General features: G+C 46.0%; 1 long non-coding RNA gene across 1 annotated transcript, besides 3 other annotated features; it reads left to right on the top strand.

Moving 5' to 3' along the window:
• Positions 3,266 to 3,824: an enhancer, noted in NCBI's record as "H3K4me1 hESC enhancer chr2:11515871-11516429 (GRCh37/hg19 assembly coordinates)". NCBI's record gives its function as "activates a minimal SCP1, AML or CMV promoter by ChIP-STARR-seq in naive H9 embryonic stem cells {active_cell/tissue: H9 hESC(naive)}" and the evidence as "EXISTENCE:reporter gene assay evidence [ECO:0000049][PMID:30033119]".
• Positions 5,722 to 5,931: an enhancer, noted in NCBI's record as "active region_15318". NCBI's record gives its function as "activates an Ori minimal core promoter by ATAC-STARR-seq in GM12878 lymphoblastoid cells {active_cell/tissue: GM12878}" and the evidence as "EXISTENCE:reporter gene assay evidence [ECO:0000049][PMID:35858748]".
• LOC124907734 (uncharacterized) lies at positions 12,522 to 13,831 on the top strand. The gene is made up of 2 exons (XR_007086217.1): positions 12,522 to 13,268; positions 13,658 to 13,831. It is a non-coding gene; the product is annotated as an uncharacterized LOC124907734 (long non-coding RNA).
• Positions 16,877 to 18,076: an enhancer, noted in NCBI's record as "BRD4-independent group 4 enhancer chr2:11529482-11530681 (GRCh37/hg19 assembly coordinates)". NCBI's record gives its function as "activates an origin of replication core promoter dependent on BRD2, P300/CBP, MED14 and CDK7 cofactors, and independent of BRD4, by STARR-seq in HCT116 cells {active_cell/tissue: HCT116}" and the evidence as "EXISTENCE:reporter gene assay evidence [ECO:0000049][PMID:35650434]".

Here is a 20,219-nt window from a genome sequence, read left to right on the forward strand (position 1 = left end):
CCCTCCCAATGACCTTGCCTTGGAGACTCTGCAGTTCTCACCTTTGACAGCTTTCTGAGAATTCGACCGTCCCCAGGCTGTCCTCTTCATTGATGCCTTTGCCACTTAAACCAAAATATGCTGTGCTTTTCTAGGTTTCTGCTTCTTGCCAAGTGTCTATCTCTTACTCTACCGACCATCACCATTGACGTGTGTGAGGGGACATCTGGAAGCACAGTCCTCTAAGGTGTGTGTGTCAAGATAGGGTTTGGGTGGCAGAGGGAGGCCCAAGTGCTGGTGGGTTCACCCACAAGGATTTGCTGACAGCTAGCTACACACCTTCCTGTTCTTTGAGAATTTCAAACGTGAGTAGATCAGCCCTTGCCATCCAAGAGCTTAGGTTGAGGGTCTGAGGGTGGAAAACACAATGAACACAAAGCTTAATTCCAGAATGGATGCCAATAATGGCACATACCATCTGCTAAGCACCTACTGTGTGTGGGCATTTAACGGTCACTGTCTTCCATTTATATAACAACCTTGCGATTTATGAATTAGAGAACCATCTTACAGGTTACAAAATTGAGATAAGTGAGCTGCCGTCTATATCAGAGAATAGAAGGTTCTGAGACCAAGATTTGAAACCAGACCTTGCCAAGGAATGACCAAAATTCATTCCTTACCAAGATGTCACTTTGGGGGCCTTATCTTAAAAGTGCTTTTCTGCCAGTTTCAATGCTCTTGAGAGGACAGTCTCCCCCTCGAAGGCTCCTAGCAACATCGCTGGGCAGGCTGGGCTGCTAAGAACACCTGTGTTTAATTTAGGTGGTGACTCAGAAGTCCCATGCCCAAAATAGGTGACACAGGCACACATAAACTGTGGCCTCCTTTTTCTACCTCCAGCCCTAACCTCTGACCCTACTGTCTGTGATTGGAAAGAAACGAAACAGTGGTACTGGGAAGAGCTGTTCCCGACCTAAACCTTGCACACAAATGGTGTCAGCAGGCACAAATCAACATGAAGATTATTAAGGGGAAACAAGCGGAAAAAATACAACTCACTAGGAATTCCTAAGTGGAGGGGCTGGGGTGTGTGTTTGTGTGTTTGTGTGTGTGTTTGTGTACATGTTTTTAACTCATCCAGATTGGAAAAAAAATGTGCCTGCAAAGGTTTCACCTTTACTTTCTCAAACCAAAAGAGATCATGTCAAGATGCCAGTCAATTGGGAGGAACTGAGGGTGAAGCCCCAGCAGGAGGGCCCTCTCTTTTCTCTTTTGAAACTTGGTGATGGCCAGGTACAGTGGCTTATGCCTGTAATCCCAGCACTTTGGGAGGCCGAGGCAGGTGGATCACCTGAGGTCAGGAGTTCCAGACCAGCCTGGCCAACATGGGGAAACCCCATCTCTACTAAGAATACAAAAATTAGCCAGACATGGTGGCACGCGCCTGTAATCAAAGCTACTCAGGAGGTTGAGGCATGAGAATTGCTTGAACCCAGGAGGCGGAGGTTGCAGTGAGATGAGATCACACCACTGCACTCCAGCCTGGGTGACACAGTGAGACTCGTGAAAGAAGGAAAGAAAGAAAGAAGGAAAGAAAGAAAGAAAGAAAGAGAGAGAGAGAGAGAGAGAGAGAGAGAAAGAAAGAAAGAAGGAAAGAAGGAAAGAAAGAAAGAAAGAGAAAGAAAGAAAAGAAAGAAAGAAAGAGAAAGAAAAGAAAGAAAGAAAGAAAGAAAGAAAGAAAGAAAGAAAGAAAGAAAGAAAGAAAGAAAGAAAGAAAGAAAGAGAAAGAAACTTGGTGTCCCCAGTGCATGCCTCAGCAGCTGTGGGATTGAAAAGTTATACATATTTTTTCCCATTGAGTAAACAAGTCTACCATTAGAAGCAGGACTTCCTTCTTGATATACTTGGATGGAGACGATTTGTTTGAAAATGAGTCTGTTTAAAATGAACACAGCCGCTCCCCCCGCGAATCTGCGGGCAATCTGACATCTTTGGAGCTCACTCAGAATGACACACTGAGCAAAATTCCACCACGTTAAATTCGAGTAGACTTGACATGGTGGAAAGATCACAGGCCTGGGGCAGAGGGCCTGGCCCCTGCCCTCGCCCCTGGGGCCCTGTGAGAGCCAGGACAGGCCCTCCCCTCATCCAGCGGCCGTGGAGCCCTGGGTCTCTTCCTGCAGCTCGTTTCTCTCGTGTGAGGCAGACACAGTGCAGCGCTCTCTTGAGGTCTCTGTGGCATTTCTGGAATGTCCTTCTTCCCCAGTTCTGCTGTTCTTTCTCCCTAGCGTGAAGGCAGGGAAATAAAGAGGCCTATTTATAGTGGGCTGGGCCAAGGCAAGCTCATCTCAAAGCTGAGTATTTATGACTGTTAGTGTCTCAGAGACAACCTGTGAATGGCCTGGCGTCTCTCCAACGGTGTGGTGTGGACTTGGCACCACTTCGCACGGCACTGGAGCTGGGTGCTGCCTTCCAGCTGGGCGTGTGAAGGGCCCGTGCAAAGCCTCTGCCTCCCCTACCCCGGCTCTCAGGGCCCTGAGGAGCTTACGGGCTGGAAATGGCCACTTCCTGAAGAACGGTAACCAGCCCCTGTGTAGGCAACAACTCACGCGCGCCCACGGAAACTCAGAGGCGTGGCTGTTACTATCCATATTTTAAAACGCAGTGATGGCTCCAATGCATTTGTTCTGTGTAAGGTAACGGGCTATTCTAGACAAGCTTTGGGGTATCTGCCTCTCCAACTTATGCCCTTTACTTTGTGAACGAATCCCACCCACAGCCATGATCACTCAGTGTGACTTCGTTACCCTGGCCTTGGTTAATTGGACCAGCGATGGGCCGGTGACCCAGGCTAAGCCAATAACATATTCTCTCCGAAAGTTTTGCTTCCAGATTCCCTTCTTAGCCTCTGTTGGGCCCTTGACTGGGGAGCCCAGTGAGGCCAGGCCTGGGCAGCTGAGCTTGTCATCTCAAACAGAAGCAAAGGAAGCTTCTCTGCAGAGCAGTCAATGAAACTGTCACACAATGACCCCAGAAGTCCTGACAGATGGTTCTGCCAGCTTCCCTGTTCCAGTCACTCTCGAAGCCTTTGGTTCCCGGAGATTCTACTGCTCTATCTTTTTGAAACAGAATGTTCTATTAGGGTTTAAATTTATGTAACACAATAGCCTATTGGAAGATTTTTTAAAAAAAAAACTTACTGGAAAAATCTACCAGCTGCTATCTGGAGACACAAAGACAGAAGGTCCCTAGAGGGCAGATCCTGAGTAGCCTCACTTAGACGGGGAGGCAGGGGCAAGCCCCGACATGGCAAAGCCAGCCCCTCCGTATGTCCCAGCCAAAACCAGCGTTGGAGAAGGGCAGTGGGGCCGCTGATGGCTATCGTGTGTGAGAGCCAGGGCCGGAGCCAGCTATGGTGCTTCCCTCATGACTTAGAAAGCAGCTCCTGTGAGCATCCAGGTACTTCTGGGCAGTTGGATTTTCCAGGTTAAGGCAGTGAGACTGGGCTCTCCCATTCCTTCCAGCCTCCCCACCCATACTGCCTGTCACATGGGGCTTTCTGGACTTAGAAGGGGAATCCACTGGCTTCATAAAGTAAATATTGCCATCTGAGACCTGGCTTCAAACTCTGAAGTAGAACACCCCAGTTACACTTCCAGTAACTTTCCCTTTCTTGCTTAAACTACTTTGGGTGAGACTTTGTTCTTGTGATGGAAAGAGCTTCGTTGAAGTGACAAATGCTGGGGGATGCTGAGTCCACATCCCGGTCTGTCTGACTCCAAATCTGAGTGACTCTGAGTCCAGAGGTCATTCGACTTCACATCAAGGCCTCTCTGATGCCGCCTCGCATCCCCTGAGAGCTTGGCAGACCTGGAGGCTCTCGTCAGAATTCCCCAACAAAATCTGTGTTTTAACAAGTTCCCTGGTACCCCTGGGGGGGCACTGATCTGATTCACCCACCAGCCTCCCAAGGCCCTGTAGTGCTGAGCTGTGGACCTCACTAGGACGCTCTCCTTGTCCCTGCCACTAGCTCCAGTGGGATCTCAGGCCAAGACCTCTCCTACCCTTGGCTCCCATTAACTTCTTTATAAAACAAAAGGCCCTCCCTGGTCCTGAGCTGAGGTGGCATCAGCTGTTCCCTTCAAAAAAGTGGCCCAGAGAAGCGGGGAGTAGAGAGTGACTGCTAATAGGTACAGGATTTCTTTTTAGAGTAATAAAAATATTTTAGAATTAGACAATGGTGATGGTTATCCAACTCTGTGACTGCACTAAAAACCATTGACTTGTACAACTTAAAAGGGGGACATTTTATAGTATGTGAACTATAGCTTAATAAAGCTGTTATTAAAAAACAATGGTACAGTACTTGAGAAAGAGAAACAATAAACCTTGGTAAAAAATAGGTTCAGTTTTATCTCAAAGCCCTATGGCTTCTCTACAGGAAGCCTTTGCTTTTGTTCTGTATCTCATGGTTTCTCTTCACAAGGCCGTTATGAAGCTCAGATGGCGCAATGGCTCAGAAGAGATTTGCAAAGGAATAAGCGAGAGATCAGAGCAGGGAACGCAGGTCAACAGCAGCCCCTCCTCCCTGTCTGCCTTCCCCTGAACCTCCGTGCAACCAGAGCCTCTGGGGAGAGGCAGGTACATCTTGTGTTTCTTTTCAGTGCAACTGTAGCTGGCCGGATGCCACAGGACATTTACTTTAAAAGAATATTTAAAAAATTTTTTTAGAAAAATGAAGGTCTCGGGACTGGGCACGTGGCTCATGCCTGTAATCCCAGCACTTTGGGAGGCGCAGGCGGGAGGATCACTTGAGGCCAGGACTTCAAGACCAGCCGGGGCAACATAATGATACCCCGTCTCTACAAAAACTTTTAAAAAATAGTCAGGTGCAGTGGTGAGTGCCTGTAGTCCCAGCTACGAGGGAGGCTGAGGCAGGAGAGTGGCTTGAGTCCAGCAGTTTAAGGTTGCAGTGAGCTGTAATCACACCACTGCACTCCCGCCTGGGCGACAGAATGAGAAAGAAAAAATGTTTTTAAAAAATTTGTCTCTAAGAAAAAATGTTTTTAAAAAACATTTTTTTAATGAAGGTCTAGTCATCAAGACCCAAGACCCCACTGTCTGGCAGGTCATCTTGGGGAATTCCTATCCATTTAGCTTCCCCAGGTCCAGGAACTTCCTTGGACCTCCTGGGTTGACTGCCCCCATGTTGCCCCGGCCAATGCTCAGTAACATTTGTTGAATGCCTGATTGTGGCCCACATTTAGAATTATTAGAGAAAGGCCGGGCGCAGTGGCTCATGCCTGTAATTCCAGCACTTTGGGAGGCTGAGGTGGGCAGATCACTTGAGGTCAGGAGTTCGAGAACAGCCTGGCCAACATGGTGAAACCCTGTCTCTACTAAACATACAAAAATTAGCTAGGCATGGTGGCACACACCTGTAATCCCAGCTACTCGGGGGGCCAAGACAGGAGACTGTCTCAAAACAAACAAACAACAAAACAGAATTATTAGAGAAAGAACATTTAAGGAAGTGAGAAAATGTGGTAAGGTATGAAACCTTGGCCTGTTGAAAGCCAAAATCACCTTCTGATTAGGAGGGGCCTGGCCTCCAACCTCCCTGGAGAACGGTTTGTTCCCCTCCTTTGCAGCCAGGTTGCAAACATTTATGACCCATTTAATCATGCTCAGTGTTTGGAGCCACACAGAGAGGGCTTCTGCAGGCTCGGACGTCATCTCGGGGCGAAGGGTGGTGTTTGATGTGTCACGCGATGAAATGCTCCCCACTCCACTCATGGTTATTATTTTTTTGCCTTTAAGCAGACAGAGTCCATCAGAGATTAGAACTCTGCCAGAGTTTCTGGGTTGAGTGATGAAGCACAAATGTTTCCCTTTCCAACGCTCTCGGAACTGTCAGCCTTATTTCTATGGCTGTCATTCTCTTATTCACAAAAACGAAACCGGGCTAAGCTGCCCTTCCTCCCTGGGCTTTTTCCAGCCTGAAGTCTCTGAAATAGCCATGTTTGTTGTAGCAGCAAGTGGGAATGTTGTCTGCTGTGATAAATGGCCCGTCCCTTCCCCTAAAATAGCCACTGGACTTCCTGGGAACTTTCCTCTCAGTCCTCTGATGAGGGAGGGTCTCGGTGGGCCTGTGGGGACTCAGCAGGGGCTACCTGGTTCAGGCTGGCTCCTTCTCCTTAAAAGCAGAACGAGGGCCCATTCGAGTCAGAATGAGCCCCTGCAGAGCTTCTTAACCGTATACAACCCCGGGCAAGCTATTTTGCCTCTCTGAGCCTCGTTTTCTCACCACATTTGGGCCAAGGAGAAGACTAAATGAGATACTATATGAAAGGTGCTGGGCCCAGATCAGACCCTTAATAAACAAGAATTCAGGCAGGCAGCGGTGAGGTTCTTGCCTGCTCCCTTTCACCCATAGATGCCTCCTGTCACTGCCTAGTGGCTGAGCTCTGGGAAGGGAGGCAGGGGACCCACCTCACTCCCTGCCCTGTGCGTACAGCCTAAGCCAGGCTCACTGAGTCCCTCACCACCTCCTTTGTTCAGTAAACATTGACTGGGCATCTGCTGTGCCCCAGAGCCTGCAGGAGGCCATGGGGACAAGGACAAGTCAGACATGGCTCTGGCCCTCAGTACAGAGATCTCTACAGGATGCAAGGGACCCTAATTGATCTGTTGTACAGTGGGAGTTCGAAATGCCATGGGCAGGAGAGAGAGAAGCCTGGCATTGACTGGAAGCTTCCAGAAAGGTTGCTTCTCTTACTGAGGCTGGGCCACACCCTGGGCTGTTGGGAGCCCCCCACCATGCCTTGTTTTGTTCAGCTCTGGCATACGGTAACCATGTATTACCAGCAGGAATTAAAGGAGCTTTAGGAAATCAGTGATCATTGAGACAGGGTCTTGCTCTGTCACCCACGCTGGAGTGCAGTGGCGTCATCATGGCTACACGTCATCATGGCTACATCATGGCATCACTGCAGCCTAGACCTTCTGGGTTCAAGCAATTCTCCCACCTCAGCCTCCCGAGACGCTGGAACTACAGTCATGCATCACCACACTTGGCTAATTTTTTATTTTTTGTAGAGACAGAATCTCACTATGTTGCCCAGACTGGTCTCGAACTCCTGGGGAGCCCAGCAGTTCTAAAAGCTGATTACCATAAAGGCATCTTGAGTTTGGGTCTGAATTCCCTGGCAGCTAAAACAAAGGGAGGAACATATTGAGTTACATAGTTTTCTTTTTCTGACAAAAGAATGCATACAAATTGACTTGAAGAGCCGGGCATTTTCCTGGAATGAAGTGCCTGCCAAAACATGCTGAGGGTAAAAGAGACACTGGGTTGTGGAATGGACCGAGGCTTCCACCACAGTATTGCAAAAGACCCACAGACGCTGCTCAAACAGACGATGCTTGTAGGACATTCCCAAAAAGGCAGAGGCCACCAGGAACATCATAACTCAGGGAAGGCACTTCTACCTTTGATGTCCCTGTTCTCTTAGGACAAGTACAAGAAGAACCCAATGAAAATATGGCTTCACCTACATCCCCAAACCACAGCAGAGCCCTCAGAGTGGCTTCACTGCAAGGATCCAGCATCTCCATTCATGGTCTGTGGATGGTTGACATTTGAAGAAAACACCCAACCACATATGCATATGTGTATCCATGTACACATTATATGTATGTGTGTGTATACACATGCAGTTTTTTATGATTGTAAAACTAGTGCTAGTGTTCTTTGCAGAAAATTTTGAAATATAGAAAAACATGAAAAAAGTATATGCCAGTAACAGCAATTCAGAAAGATAACCTCAATTAGACCTTGCTATATTTATCTGTAGTCATTTATCTACATGTGAGATATATATACATATATCTCTGAATGTGACCCTAGGGTCATTGGGTCATTCTCTGCGCCTTTTTTTAATCTCAAACTTTTTCATTTAACAAGATTTTACATATATATATATATACGTATATATATGTATATATATATATACGTATATATACGTATATATATGTATATATATATACGTATATATACGTATATATATATGTATATATATACGTATATATACGTATATATACGTATATATGTATATATATACGTATATATACGTGTATATATACGTGTATATATACATATATATATACGTGTATATATACGTGTATATATACATATATATATACGTGTATATATACGTGTATATATACATATATATATACGTGTATATATACGTGTATATATACATATATATACATATATTTAGGCAGGGTCATGCTGTGTCACCCAAGCTGGAGTGCAGTGGTGCAATCATGGCTCTCAGCAAACATGACCTCTCGGGCTCAACTCATCCTCCCATCTCAGCCTCTTGAGTAGCTGGGACTATAGATGGGCACCATCATGCCTGGCTAATTTTTTAAAAAAAGTTTTGTAGTGATGGAGTTTTGCCACATTGCCCAGGCTCAAGTGATCCTTCCACTTTAGCAGTCCAAAATGCTGGGATTACAGGCATGGGCCACCATGCTGGGCTAAGGTGGGGCATTCTAAAATTCAAGAGGAAAGACTTTATTGAAAGTATTTTTGTTGCAATGATTAGAAAAATCATATTTTTAAAACACTAAGCTAAATTATAAAAACTAAACTGTTATGAATGAACTGAGAGTTAAAACAAACAGTACATTAAAAAATTCATTGTGTGTTTTTTTTTAAATTTTCCCTGTGAAGTGTAATTTATGTACAGAGAAGGGCACAAAATAAATGTATAGCTTAGTCAATATCCATCATCTGGGTCAATAAATAGACATTGCCAGAACCGGAAATACCTCCTCATGCCTCCTGCCAGTCACTACTTCCTTCCTCCTTCTCAAAAGTAAACACTTACCCTGATTCTATTATTCATTACTTCTTAGTTTTGCCTGTTTTTTAAACAACTTTTTTTTTTCCTTTTTTTTTTTTTTGAGACAGAGTCTCGCTCTGTCGCCCAGGCTGGAGTGCAGTGGCGCGCTCTCGGCTCACTGCAACCTCCGCCTCCCGGGTTCACGCCATTCTCCTGCCTCAGCCTCCCGAATAGCTGGGACTACAGGCGCCCGCCACTACGCCCAGCTAATTTTTTGTATTTTTAGTAGAGACGGGGTTTCACCGTGTTAGCCAGGATGGCCTCGATCTCCTGACCTCGTGATCCTCCTGCCTCGGCCTCCCAAAGTGCTGGGATTACAGGCATGAGCCATGGCGCCCGGCCAAAACAACTTTTTATACTTAGAATCGAATGTGTGTATTCTTTTGCATCTGCTTTCTTTTGCTGCATACTACGCTTGTGAGAATCCGTACATTGTTGCATTAACCGTACGTAGTTCCTTCATTTTCCTTGCTGCATAGTATTCTATTGTGTGAGTCCACCATAATTATTTTTATTACTTTACCTCTGATGGAAGTTTAAGTTGTTTCCAGCTTGGGGGTACTTATAAATAATGCTGCTCTAAATATTCCACATGCCTCTTGGCCTCTTGGTAAGCATACGTTTCTGGTGAATACTTACTTAGGAGTAAAATTGCTGGATGTAGGGTATGTCTGTCTTCAGTTTTAGTGGATAAAGCCGAACTGTTTTCCAGAGTGACTGCATCTGTTCATATTCTCACTGTGAGAAAGCTCCTGTTGCTCTACACCTTATGAACAATTGCTATTATCAGATTTTTAAGCTTTATTCATTCTGGTGAATGTGGTTTTATTAAATAATTTGCATATCCCTAGTAACTAATGAGGCTAAGCACTTTTTCATATGCTTAATGACCAATCACATATCTGATCGTGAAGGATCCGTTCTGATCTCTTGACCGTGTTTCTAATGGTTTGTCTTTTCCTTATTGATTTATGGGAATTCTTTACATATTTTGGATACTCTGTTGTATTCATTTCCTATTGCTGCTGTAATAAATTACTACAAACTAAGTTAAAACCCTGCAAATGTATTCCCTTATTGTCTGCAGGTGAGAAGTCCAAAATCATTCTCAAGGGGTTGAAATCGAGGGGAGAACTGTTCCCTTGCCTTTTCTAACTTCTAGAAGTCACCTGCATTCTCCAGCCTGTGGCCCTTTCCACACATCACTCTAATCTCTTGCTTCTGTTGTCACATCTTCTGCTACATCTCTGCCTCCTTCTTATAAGAACTCTCATGATGCACTTGGAGGACCACCTAAATAATCCAGTCTAGTCTTCCCATTGCAGGATTCTCAGCTTAACCACATCTGCAAAGTACCTTTTTCCATGTAAGGTAAAACAGTCACAGGTTCTGGGCATCTGGATGTGGACATCTTTGGGGGGTCATTATTCTGACTACCACGTCTAGTATACAAAGCTAACAAAAAATAAATTTTTTTCAAATCAAACTACTACTAAGGTACCAAATCAAAGTGTCAATTTGAAAAGATAATAGTAACACCCAGTGCTGGTCAGAAGAGTGAATTACTAGCCTCTTGGAGAGCATTAGACAACACCTATGAAAGGCCTTAAAAAGGCCTATTCCTTTCGACCCTCTAATTCCACTTCCAGGACTTTGGCATCATCAGACACTGGGGAAGGGTGCAGCCATTAAAAACCATACTTAAAAGATACTTAATGGGCTGGGCGCAGTGGCTTATGCCTGTAATCTCAGCACTTTGGGAGGCCAAGGCGCGCAGATCATCTGAGGTCAAGAGTTTGAGACCAGCCTGGCCAACATGGCAAAACCCCATCTCTACTAAACATACAAAAATTAGCCAGGCGTGGTGGCATGTGTCTGTAATCCCAGCTACTCAGGAGGCTGAGGCAGGAGAATTGCTTGAACCTGGGAGGCAGAGGTTGCAACGAGCCGAGATGGAGCCACTGCACCCCAGCCTGGGTGACAAAGTGAGACTCCATCTCAAAAAAATAAAAATTAAAATTAAAAATAAAATAAAAAGATAAAAATGAAAGATACTTAATGGCATGATACACATTACAAGATATACCACAATATGTTAAGTGCCATTTACCTAAGTGTGTTTCTCAGAACATTAGTTCTATATAACTTCTACAGTAAAATGTTCCATACATATATTTGGGGAATATTGCACCCTTACCCTTCTTTCAGAAATGTATGATAATATTAGAATATTAAAGCCTCCAACAAGTCCTAGAAGAAGAAAAACATAACTACTTAACCCGATATTTCCCAAACTTATTTGACTACAGCTCTCTTTCTTTATGGAATACTTACTAAAATCTTGCAAAACTAGAGTCCATGTAACATACAGAAAATCTTATTGGCCAGGCATGGTGGCCCATGCCTGTAATTCCAGCGCTTTGGGAGGCTGAGATGGGAGTATGACTTGAGACCAGGAGTTCAAAACCAGCCTGGGCAACATAGCAAGATCCCATTTATAATTTTTTTTTTTTGAGCAGAGTTTTGCTCTTGATGCCCAGGCTGGAGGGCAATGGCATGATCTCGGATCACCGCAACCTCCGCCTGCCGGGTTCAAGCAAGTCTCCTGCCTCAGCCTCCCAAGTAGCTGAGATTACAGGCATGTGCCACCACACCTAGCTTATTATAAAAAAAATTTTTTTTTTAAATTAGTGAGGCATGGTGGTGTGCACCTGTAGCCCTGGCCACTCGGGAGGCTGAGGTGGGAAGATCGCATAAGCTGGGAGGCTGAGGCTCCAGGAAGCTATGATCACACCATTCACTTCAGCCTGGGCAATGGAGACAGAACCTTTCTCAAAAGAAAAAAAAAAGAATGCCCCGTTTCACACTGTATGGTCTATCGCATATAAGACAGCTATCTGTTTTGTCTTGTCATTTAAACTTTTTAAAAAAAATTAAATTTTATTTTGTTTTATTTTTTGAGATGGTGTCTCGCTCTGTTGCCCAGGCTGGAGTGCAGTGGCGTGACTTCGGCTCACTGCAACCTCCACCTCCTGGTGGCGATCCTCCCACCTCAGCCTTCCAAGTAGCTGGGACTACAAGGTGCATGCCACCACATCTGGCTGATATTTTTGCATTTTTCGTGGAGACAGGGTTTCACCATGTTGCCCAGGCTGGTCTCAAACTCCTGAGCTCAAGCGACCTGCCTGTCTCGGCCTCCCAAAGTGCTGGGATTACAGGCATGAGCCACTGCGCCCGGCCTAAACTTTTTAAATATATGCATTTACATAAAGTAGCCCACGCAGAAAAGTACTGATGTTCTTTCAAAACCATCAGGAACATGAGCTTTTATTTGAATGAACAGAAAAAAGAAACTGATTGCTATTCTTTGAAAAGAGGACTCTGTTGTATACATACCATAGCCCCCTGTTAACTACTCATTAAAAGTCTTTGAGATTTCTGCAGTAAAACAAGGTGATTACATCTTTGATAATCTAATGCTTCCTAAAATTATTTGATCAGGTAAGCTTTTCTTTGGTATAGAATATATATTTAAAAATCTCACACTCTTAGTGTTCCATGAAACACTCTTTGAGAAACATTGAATTAATTCATTTTTCAAATTTTCCAGTTATAGAAACTAAAGCCAGAGGAGAGAAGTGACAATCCCAAGGTCACCCAGTAAGTTATAGTTAGAGCCCCTCTACGCCAGGCTGCCTCGAAAGGAGAGGTCACTCAGACAGCAGTCACACTTACCTGTAACTGTGGGTTTATAATAAAAAATGGCAAGAATAACATAAATGTCCAGATATTCACCACTCAGCTTACAAACTACAGTTTTGCAAATATAGTCCAAGTCTTCTAAGTACCCCTCTCTGGTCCCATCTCACTTCCTTATAGAGGTAACCACTGTTTTAAAGCTGGTGTTTATCTTTTCTATGCATGTCTTTCTACATATACCACTGTGTTGATTTGCTAGGGATGCCTTAGCAAAGTACCATAAACTGTGGGGCCTAAGCAACAGAAAGTAGTTCTCTCATAGCTCTGGAGGCTGAAGTCCAAGACCAAGGTGTGAGCAGGCTGGTTCCTTTCCCTCTGTCTCCACATGGCCGGCCCTCTGTATGTGTCTCTCCTAATGGCTTCTTCTTCTAAGGATGCCAGTCCGATGGAATCTGGGCCCACCTTAATGACCTCATTTTAATTTAACAACCTCTTTGAAGGCCCTGTCTCCACATACAGTCACATTCTGAGAGTGCTGGGTTAGGGCTTCAACATATGAATTTTGGGGGGCACATTTATTTTGGCCTGTAACAACCTCCTACATGCTCTTTCTCCTACAGATAATTTTTTGGGAGATAATCAACAATGCTGCAATGAATATTCTCACACAAGGTTCGGTGTCACATTTGCTAACTAGAGCTGAGTGTATGTGCCTGGGAGTGAAATTGCTGGGTTATTCGGGTTGTTTATTGACTAGACCATCCTTTTCTCATTGATCCATAATGTTATATGTCAAGTTGCCAAAGACACATGGGAAATGTCTGGGCTTACCAGCCTGTGGGTCTGTTTGTCCCTCTGGACTAATTCACAAAGGAGAGCCCTCTGTTAGGGACTGAATTGTGTCCCTCCAGCTCCCAAATTCATGCTCTGAAGTCCTGATCCCCAGGACCTCAGAATGTGACCTAATTTGGAAATAGGGTTGTTTCAGATGTGATAAGTGGAGATGAGGTCATCTTGGAGTCGGGTGGGTGCCTCATCCAATATGCCTGGTGTCCTTACAGAAGGGGGAAATTTGGACACAGACATACACAGAAGGACACCGTGTGAAGATGAAGATGGCCACCTGTGAGCCAAGGAAAGAGCCCTGGAATGAAGCAACGCTGCCTACACCTTGCCTTCAGATTTCTAGCCTCCGGAGCTGTAGGGAAATAAATTCCTGCTGTTTAAGCCCTTCAGTTTGTGGTGCCTCGATACGGCAGCCCTGGGGAAATGGATACAGCCTCCATTCCACTTTCCCACTTCCGACCCTTCTTCCCCATCTCTCTTCACTGCTTGCAAAGCCAGAAATAGCACAGGATGGTGAGTCAGGACTGGCACTGCTCAAGAGCACTGCCAGCCACACCCCGGCCGCCTACCCCCACGATTAAGAGAAAGCACAGGGCAGTGCCATGGACTGGGACTCCGACCCCCACTCAACCAGCCACAATGGCCTGTGTGTCTTTAACAAGTTACCAGCCCTCTCTGGGCTTTAGTTTCCTTGGCTGTAAAATCAGGCTGCTGCTTGGGATTTTCAACTGTTCTGTTTATAACATAGCATTTTTAGGTCACCAGAAATAAAAATATTCTGCTTGCCTCCCACTTTCAGCAAACTTGGGTGGCAAAGATGACTTCAATTCTTCTAATTATCAGAGCCACAAATGGCTCTGTCTCATCCTCAAGATGAGTTTGGTTTTTATGTTTTAATCTGAGCTCTGCCCATTTTGCAGATAGTTATCTGTGAGGCTGTCTGTGTGTGTGTGTGTGTGTGTGTGTGTGTGTGTGTGTGTGTGTGTGTGTTGGATTGCTTGTAGTAGCTGCTTACTTGATTTCACAAGGATGCTGTCTGACCAGGGTCTCTCAGAATGACTGAGTCCAGGTGGACCTTGGCCAGATTTGAACCAGCACCCAAGATAAAGTATTTAATTCTTCTCTATCTCTAGACCAAGGGTGATGGAAATCATCAGACACCAAGCAGCTCATGCGTTCCAGAGGTTTCAGGACTGAACGTTGGTTCTGTGGTTCCCCGTTTGGCATCTGGCTTTCATTAGGCCATAAAAAACAGTTTACGGCCCTTCTGGTTGGAACAATAACTTTCACAGTATCCGTAGTGGCTGAGTGGTTATCAGAGGAAGAAAGACCACTAGCAGTCTGCGTCCTTGCTGTCTGTCATGGGCGGTGCCAGCCTACGTGTTAACCTATTCATCTCGCTTCAACCTTACACGGGTAGGTATTGGGACTGCCATTTTTAGATTTGGCTCAGACAGGCTTAGAGATTTTACCAAGGTCACATAGCCAGCAGAGCCTGGATTCAAATTTAGGCTTTCTAATTCCTCAACCAGCATCTTTTTTCTTTTTTTTTTCTTTTTGTTGAGACAGAGTTTCACTCTTGTTGCCCAGGCTGGAGGGCAATGATGCGATTTCAGCTCACTGCAACCTCCGCTTCCCGGGTTCAAGTGATTCTCCTACCTCAGCCTCCCGAGTAGCTGGGATTACAGGCATGTGCCACCACACCCAGCTGATTTTGTATTTTTTAGTAGAGATGGGGTTTCTCCATGTTGGCCAGGCTGGTCTCAAACTTCTGGCCTTCGGTGATCCGCCCACCTCAACCTCCCAAAGTGTTGGGATTACAGGCGTGAGCCACCGTGCCCAGCCAACCAGCATCTTTGTTTAAAAAAATCTTACCTAGACAATTTTGGTGAGAGTTTTACTTGTTAAAATTTTATTTGAGCTCCTATGCCTCTATAGACTAGATGCCTGGCACACAGTGGGGAGTAAAATACTTCTGTGTTTGAACTGTTCCACTATCTACTCTGGACAGGAACTGTGTTTATCAAGTGTTTGGCAAAGGGATAGTGTATATGGGCGCTTTGTACATATAGGTTCAATGTTAAAAGTAAACATGGGCACATTAGGATTTTAACAAGTTTATTTGAACATTAAGCTCAGCAATTCATGTATCAGGCAGCACCCGACTGCTAGCTGTTCAGGATTCCGTCGAGGCCACGCAAGGGGAAAACCTTTATAAGGTGTTTGCACAACGAAGACAAATAAAATATTTGATTAGTTAAAGTGAAAAGCCTGTAGTTAGAGATTCGCTGGCAGTTTGCGATTGGTTAAGCATAAGTTTCATTTTACTCTTTTCACTGAGTTGGGCTTTTCTTTGCTTAGGAACCTGAGGTGTTGGAGCTCTCTCAGCCTAATAGCCTCCCCACTAATTCTAATAAAAAGAGGACAAGCAGCTGCAGCCAGTACAGCAGCCTGCACCAGGATCTGGCTTCCTGTAGTTTCCTCCGAGTGGTTTCTGTTCTGCCTTCTGCAGGGGGTACCTTAGGTGGACACTGTGATGTGTCACCCAGACGCCCCTTCGCCAAAAAACTTGCTTCCCTGGCTCGTGGGAATGCTGTCTACAGACAAAGCTGTCAGCCCCTTCAGGATTTGCCTCAGCTGCAGAGAGCTGGTTGGCCCAAGGTCATGCCCTTTTGGGGTGGCCCACATCCAATGGGGAAGGTATAAGGGCTTGGTCAGCTGGGCTCACCAGCTGTGAGGGCCATTCTAGCTTCTGGGCTTTCTGTGGTCAGCGAGTCTGTCATTGGGCCTCACCTTCTCCTTTTGCCCAATCCTGCTTCCTTCCTCCCTCTTTTCCAGGGCAGGTGCAGATGGCACTCCTTAACAAACATCCTGCCTATAAACGACCTGTACCAGCTCCTCCCTCCCACTCCTTCCTCGAGACAGTCCTTCAGAGGCAGGAAAGGTGGCCCTGCACCCCTGAGCCTCCTCCCTCTGAGCCCCATGACCTTTGGCCTGGTGCTGACTTCTTGATGGGCCGTCATCTTGGGCACTTTCCTGAGTGCTTCTGAATCCCCATCCTGGAGGGTGGTGGGGATGGATGGCTGGTTTTCTGGGGCAATCCCCAAACCCTGGGCTTTTCTCATTGATTATGGTGACTATCACAGACAGCTTCCAGCATAGAGGGAAGCATTGCTTGCTGCTTCCACAGGAACTAATTTAGTCAGAAACCCTAACCGCGGCAGGCAGTACATGGGTGCATTTCATATTTTGCTTTCCAGATCTTTCCTGCACCCGGAGGGCATTGAGCTTATCAGGCAACAGTGAAAACCAGTAACTGCTTAAATGCGGTTGCTGAGGCTTCGAAAAGTGGTGTCAGTCTGCCTTTGCAGAGGTCCCTCTGCTGAGGAGGATCTGCTATGAGAAAAGGTCATGATAATCCCTTTGCTCAGCATGTGAGAGTTTCTTTATTATTATTTAAACGAAAGCCTGAGGAGTAGAACCTTGGTTAATCAAATTCTTTCAACGTATCGCAGCACAGCCCTGCCCTTCATAGGCCATCTCCCTTCTCTTGGTGGCAAATAGTAGAAATAAACTTGACCTAGTTTAACGACAATAACAAAATCCAGAAGGAAGAATGTATTTTAAGGTATTTCACCAAACCCAAGGTCAGAAATGCTCCCAGGACCCAGAAAGGATCAGACACATGATCTGGGATATCTGTCCCTGAATTCTGCATCTGTGTATTCGTGCGTGCGTGTGTGTGCACTTGTGTGAATGTATGTGCGCATGCGTGTGTGTCTTTCCCTGGATCAAGTGCCTGGATCAAGTGGCCAATGGCCAATTCTGCATTCCAAGCTTTATATATAAACATTTTAACCACATCAAGATACTAACTAAACTCTCTCTTGGACTCAATCCCAAATTCCTAGGAGATACAAGTTCATTGGCGGGTTTTGGTCACATATTAACTTTCCATGCTGTTAGGCAGGGGCACCAGGGAGGACCATGCAATCCAAACCTGCAGCCAGGGACCCACCCCTGTGGCTGTGACCAATGGCCCCAAGATGGGCACTCCCAGACAGCCCTGCAGATTTGAGCCAGGCAGCTTGCTTTGCTGTCTGGCCTAGAGAGTGATGATTCAGCTGAAGACTAAAATAATTACCTGCGTGTGAGGCAAGCAAGAGCCTGCACTGACGTCAGCAACACATTCCTGAGCTCACCTTGTCACAGAACCCTGTGCAGCCCGATTCCGCCACGGGGCATCCACCCCAATGGGGGACTAACGAGAACGGTGATGAGCTCGTCTGTGTTTAATAAGAAAGGCTACCACGTGTTGAATGACTTCTAACGTACCAGGTGTTATACATACAGCACCTCTCAGCTTCGCAAGGAATCTGTCAAGAGATAGCATTACGTGCCCCTCTTACAGATCAGGAAAACTGATGCTCAAAGAGGTTAATGAAGTCATCCAAACTCACATTTTAGAATGAAGTGGGTGGAATTTAGAATTTGATTATAAATCAGGTTAGTTCTAAAGCTGGTAAGTCTTCCGAGAATGATGATGTGTCACCTTCTAAATAACGACTAGATCACACAAGTGAAACTTTAATAATGTGTAAATTGTATGATTGAGGAATGCTGGGAGAGGTTACATGATGCAAAAACCACTCACTGAAACGTGAAGCCCTCTGTCAGTCACCGGCAGCCCAGCCTTCAGTGGAGACTAATTCCCAGTAATCACGGAATGGGGAGACTTCACTGAATTTGCTCAGTCTTCCCTTTTTGTGCTTCTTAATTGCTTTGAGAATCATCTAGATGCTTGTGTGGCCTTGGTCCAGGCCTATGGTGCAAACCAAGTGACATGGGGCAGGAGTAGGGGCTGATACTCTGCTTTCAGGGTCTCTGATCGAGGTGAGGAAAGCAGGCCCAGCTGGTGGCCAAGTGTATACCATTCGAGGGGGGGGTGTAGGTGTGTGGTGAAAAGAGCACTGAACTCTGGGTCCACATGCCTGACTTCTCACTCCAGCACCAGCTCTTGACGATGGTGGGACTCAGGCTGACCCACTTACCAACCCTGACCTCCAGCTTCCTCATCTCCAAGATGGCCTTATTTTTATTTATTTATTTTTTTTGAGACGGAGTTTCGCTCTTGTTGCCCAGGCTAGAGTGCAATAGTGCCATCTCGGCTCACTGCAACCTCCGCCTCCGGGGTTCAAGTGATTCTCCTGCCTCAGCCTCCCGAGTAGCTGGCATAATAGGCGCCTGCCACTACGCCCGCCTAATTTTTGTATTTTTAGTAGAGACAGGGTTTTGCCATGTTGGCCAGGCTGGTCTCGAACTCCCGACCTCAGGCGATCCATCCGCCTCGGCCTCCCAAAGTGCTGGGATTACAGGTGTGAGCCACCACGCCTGGCCCAAGATGGCTTTATTAACCTGCCTTGCCTCCCTCTCTGCACTGTACTGACACGGGTTATTAGTCTGTAATAGCAATAGTTACCATGTAATCATCATGGTTCAAATTGACTCCCACTCACCACAAGCTAAGCACTTCACATTTCCTTTCCTCATAACCCTAACGAGTTGATCCTATGATTAGCCCCATTTTACAGATGAGGCAACAGAGCCTGAAGGGTGAAATAACATGCCCCAGACCGAGTGTGCCTGGACCCACAGTCCGAACAGAGCACTGCCTCACTGGCCCTGAGAGTGTCTGTCATCTGGAAGGTTTTGCTATTATTGTCATGCATGGTCCTAATCCAGGCAGCCCAGGATGTGAGCTAGGCAGGGTAACTGGTGTGGGGAACAGATCCCTGGAGCCCTGCCGCCTCTACCTTCCCGGTATCACCAAGGAAACCACAGCGCCTTTGTTGTTGCCATGGCAACCATCTAAACTCTCTCTTTCCCTTGGTTTCACCATGGAGACAGCCAACGGGAAAGAAGTTCCTGAGTGGGAGGCAGTACAGCAGGGAGAGGTGAGAACGCGCCTCCAGGAACCAGGACTGGAAATTCCCACTCTGCTGAGGAATGCAGAGGCATTCCTGGAGCTGCACAGAAGTACATTGTCGAAGCCGGGATGTCCCTGGGGAAACATAGGTTGAAAGAATTGTTTTCTGAATTTATTTCTAGAGGTTGCCTTTCCTGTAGTCAGCCATTGTCCAAACCAAAGGAAATTCCCAAATTTTCATATCTCACAGATGCTGAAATTCTACTCGGCCAGGTCTTTTCCCTGTCTAATTTTGCTTCCAACTTGCTGGATGACATTGGGTAACTCAAGTACATCTCCCCAAGCAAGTGTCAGATGAATCTGACAAGTTACACCAATGGCATTCAGGCCTCCAGACTTCTAGGCCAGGATAAGTTCTTTAAGAAAACACAAGGTTCCAACCCAGGGTTGCCACACTTTTTAAATTTCTATTTTTTTAAGACAGAGTCTTGCTCTGTCACCCAGGCTGGAGTGCAGTGGCACATTCTTGGCTCACTGCAGCCTCCGCCTCTGAGGTTCAAGCCATCCTCTCACCTCAGCCTCCTGAGGAGCTGGGACTATAGGCACATGCCACTATGCCCAACTAATTTTTGTATTTTTTGTAGAGACAGGGATTCACAGACTGTTGCCCAGGCTGGTCTCGAACTCCTGAGCTCAAGCCATCTGCCTGCCTCAACCTCCCAAAATGCTGGGATTACAGGCATGAGCTGCAACACCCGGCCACCACACTTTTACTTGGGGAGATCAGGATGTCAGAATTGAAAACTGCATTTAATCTACAGAGGCAGGGCGATGTGACAGTTAAGAGCGGG

This window comes from Homo sapiens, chromosome 2 (assembly GCF_000001405.40).
Source record: "Homo sapiens chromosome 2, GRCh38.p14 Primary Assembly".
Lineage (NCBI taxonomy): Eukaryota > Metazoa > Chordata > Mammalia > Primates > Hominidae > Homo > Homo sapiens.